The sequence below is a fragment of the Homo sapiens genome, chromosome 3 (assembly GCF_000001405.40).
Source record: "Homo sapiens chromosome 3, GRCh38.p14 Primary Assembly".
In the NCBI taxonomy this organism is placed as follows: Eukaryota; Metazoa; Chordata; class Mammalia; order Primates; family Hominidae; genus Homo; species Homo sapiens.
Window position 1 is genome coordinate 144,177,128 of NC_000003.12, and position 4,703 is coordinate 144,181,830.

Below are 4,703 nucleotides of genomic sequence, written 5' to 3' on the forward strand. Positions count from 1 at the left end.
AAAATTTAAATAAACAAGATATATCCAAAGAAATTTAGATTCTATTCCTTCCTGTTTCTTTATATTCTTTTTCTCCTTTTAAAGGAAATTACTCTGTTTATTATGGTTATTTTTCTATTGTTTGCTTTTTAAGACAAAAAATAGGTATTTGTCTTCATATCTTTCCATTCTGTGCTAATTGATAGCATTCCATGTGCAATTTTCTTCACCTTGCTTTTTCTGTTTTTGCTTTTTTAACTTAACAATTTATCTTGGACATCATTCCGTATTAGTAAGCAGAAATATTTCTCATTTTATTTTATTTATTTATTTATGTTGAGATGGAATCTTGCTCTGTCCCCCAGGCTGGAGTGCAGTGGCACGATCTCGGTTCACTGCAACCTCCACCTACCGGGTTCAAGTGATCCTCCTACCTCAGCCTCCCGAGTACCTGGGACTACAGGCATGCACCACCATGCCCAGCCACTTTTTGTATTATTAGTAGAGACAGGGTTTCACCATGTTGGCCAGGCTAGTCTCGAACTCCTGACCTCAAGTGATCCGGCCTCCCAAAGTGCTGGCATTACAGGCGTGAAACACTGCACTTGGCCCTCATCCCATTTTAGACTTGCCTAACACTCTACTTTGTGGGTGTACCCATAGTTAATATAATTAGCTCAAATGAAGGACATTTGGGTTTCTACCAGGTCATAATCTAGCAATAAATAGCTTTGTGTAAATGACCTCATATTTTTGCCAGCATATCTTTGGGAAAATTCTTAGAAGTGAATTGCTGGTTAAAAGGTAATGTATAAATAATTTCACTAGATAGGAACAAATTACCTGCCATAGAAGTTATATATTATGTATTCATATGAACAATGTATGAGAGAGCCTGGTTTCCCATTGGCCTCATTGATAGATAATCTTGTCAAAGTTCAGATTTTAATAGCAGGCAAAACTAACAACCATGACACATCTAGAATATATCTTAGCAAAATTTGGGTTTTTAGGACAGAAAGAAAATCTGCACACATTTTTTGCAGGTGGGAAACTTTCTCCCTCTTGGACTTATCAATCTAAAATAGGTTACCTACCAGGGAGTTAGGAAACACACACACACACACACACACACACACACACACACACACACGACTACTAAAGATTCTCAGTAACATTAAATGCAAGACATATTGGAATAGTTTTTTTTCAAAGTTTTAAGGAGATTATTGCCACCAAAGCATTCTATAATCTATGTAATTATATTTATTAAAGCTTTATAAATAAATTTTAGACAGGCAATAATTTGGAAAGTAGACAAACCAAATAGCTTTCCTGAAAAAATTGCTGACAAATCTTCTCTAGCTACTTAATAAATGAAGCCAGATAAATATCTACATTATATAAGAAAATTGAGTAGCAGAAAATAATTATGAAATATGTGGTAAATGTTAATTTTAAAGAGAGAACACAATTAGAACACAAAAACCATGAGTCGAGTGTGGAATAAAAGAAACAAATACACATAAGCTAACTTTCTTATCCTGCTGATGGGAAATTCACGAGTTTCTTTTCCATTTTTTATTTTAATAGAGAAATAAAAGCTCAATTTAAAAAAGTTAATTTAACTTAAAGGTAAACATTGAAAATAACTGTGGGTACATCCACAATGTAGAGTGTTACGCAATTCTAAAAGGGAATGAGGGCTGGGCAGGGTGTCTCACACCTCTCATCTCAGCACTTTGGGAGTCCAAGGCAGGTGGATCACTTGAGAAAAAAATGTTGAGACAACTTGAGTCATATAGCAATATTAGAGAAGAGAAATAAAGCAAGAAAGCAAAAGAAAAAAGAAAAAAACCCAAACCCAAGTAAGAACAACAGCAACATCAACAAAAGAAAACTATGCTATTTGCATCCAACACACCTAAGACGAAGTGATTCACAGGGAAATATTAAAAATAAAGGAGTACACATCAGGAATAGTGAATATCTGTTATATTTTCTTGTTATCTATTTTTGAAAACTTTTCTATGCTTGGAGAATTTTCTACTTACATGTTTGGCCTCCTCAAAGTAGAAACTAAAATACTCCTTTTGTCAGTGTCTCTTGCAGTAAGGCAAAAACACGTGACTAGGCAAAATTGATTAAACTCATTGGTGCCAGACTGTGGCCCAGAAGTGAACAGTATTAGAAAGGAGGTTCCATGAAGAATCCATTTTATTAACCATGCTAACCAGTATAGTACTTAAGCAGTTTGCTGTCAGGGGTGGATTGCCTCCAAGACTGAATTCCTGGCACAGAATTATTATCAGTATTAGATGCAAATGAAGTCTTATCACTGGCAGTCCTGTAAATTCTACTCCAAAGTGCTCAGTATTGGTAGCAATGGCTATTCCCTCACTGGGCCAGTACTACGATGTGCCTGTGGGCATTAATTCTGGAATCTTAACCTTTAGCCTGTTCCTCCATCCCTCTCAAAATTTTTCCAGCTCTCCATATCTTTATAATAAACTCATTTTCTGCTCAAATCATCAAACTTAGCTTCTTTTGTTGCTGTCTGATTGATATCGACACTGATTCCCAAAATCATTTTAGAAAACAGAAGCTCAGGCAAATAGGAGGTATCTGAAATTGGTTATCTGATCTGATTCAGGCTGAAGGCTCTGAAATTCAACCAGTATAAAGCCTCTTGGCAAGCAATGTGAAACAGTCTTCTAATTCTCATCTGTGGTCACCTGCAATGAATACACAAGGCAAGTCTTTCAGGGAAACAGCACCACAGCCAGAGCCCTATGTAGGGACATAAGAAATTCAGACTATAGAGTGAGTGCTTACTTCTAAAGAGATTTAGGAACTTAAAAAGATTCACATACTCAAACTCTGAGGTTCTGGGTTCAATATATAGAAAGAAAACCATAGAATTGCTCTGTATTAAAAAAAAGTTAGCTCAATTGTGTCGTACAGCTGAAATACATAAAAATCAAATTCAAATTTTGATCCTGAAGCTGCCACTATTTCTCAGTTAAATTCACTGCCTTGTCAGGTCTCTTATGTGAAAGTTAGGACTTTGGAAAGAAATCTAGATTTAGGGACATATAAACTTGAAATGGATTGCTCACATATAGCGTGTTCATTTACCCCCTGTGTTTCCCAAAAGGGCCCTCAAAAAAGACTCTCTTCAATAATGCTTAGATGATAGCAGCCCCATCATCTTTGAAAAGTGCTCTACAACTGTTCTCTGTTCATTTGGGATGCTGGCAGGAGACGCTGCTGTTGAAATGGGATGTTTCATTTTTAAATGCAAGGACCAGGTACTGGAGTGGTCAGTTCCCCAGAGCAGCCCTTAAATGCAAAGGCATGGCCTGGCACGGTAGCTTACACCTGTAATCCCAGCACTTTGGGAGGCTGAGGCGGGCGGATCATGAGGTCAGGAGATCGAGACCATCCTGGCTAACACGCTGAAACCCCGTCTCTACTAAAAATACAAAAAATTAGCCGGGTGCGGTGGCGGGCGCCTGTAGATCCAGCTACTTGGGAGGCTGAGGCAGGAGAATGGTGTGAACCTGGGAGTTGGAGCCTGCGGTGAGCCGAGATCATGCCACTGCACTCCAGCCTGGGTGACCGAGCGAGACTCCATCTCAAAAAAAAAAAAAAAAAAAATGCAAAGGCATGACCTAAGTGTGGCAATTGGTAAAAGGGTAGGTGTGGTCATTATAATGGTTTAACCCACAGGTATTTATGGTTATGGGTAATTGGTCATTGCTTCTTAGGCTGTAAAAAGATGAGAAATCCACCAGGATCCTATTTGACTTTTCTAATTTAAAAAACAAAATCTGGTGAACTGAAGTCTGACTTGAGAGTCTTAGCTTTCTATTTAAATCTCAAACCTTCATCTATTTCCACATCTAGAGTTACTAAAAAGAGAGAAGGCTTTTTTGAGGAAAGATCAGGTGAAAAATCTCACAAACATGTACAGAAAACCACTTAAGTCTCTCCCAAAATGTTATGTGGCCATTTGCCAGAGTAACTAGGTGCTAGGGAAAGAGAACTAGTGAAAAAAAAATGTTGAAAATTGCTTTGAACAGACATAAATCCTTAGTCCTAGAACATAACCTTTGTTCATTAATCAAGTGCTTACGTAGTGCAATGAAAGGGATTTTTACCCAATTTGACTTCATGGGTAGGTCAGTGGCACTGTGAAACCATTTTATCTGGCTATATTCCAAGTTCCTTCTGTCTATTTAGTTAATATACTTAGCAAATGGTAGAATTTTTACCGTGAGTTTCTTCCTAAGCTTTTGAGTGAGAGATATTATGATACAAAAACAGCAATAACAGAAACATGTAGAAGTCTCTCTAGTTTCCCCTTTCACTAACTGAAAACCAAAAGCAAATTTTTTACCAAGTTATATCAGTAAGACAAAATACATGTCAAAAGACAGGAGATCAATTTCATGGAAACAGAAAGGCTTACTCCCTTATTGAAATTTGAGTTCCAGCAGTAAGCAGCTTCCAAGAAAAATCTCTGTAAAGGTAAAGGGAAAGTTACTGTAACTTGGATTTTGAAAGTAACGTATATTACAATTGAGAGTGAGGACTAAGCTCTGATTTTTTATCTTGCCCAAATTCCTGCCTAAGATGTCTAGAGAGCCATGCCCTAGAAACCATAAATTCTCATCAGATGGGTTTTATTTGGCCTTATATATTGTGACTTACTTTTCAGT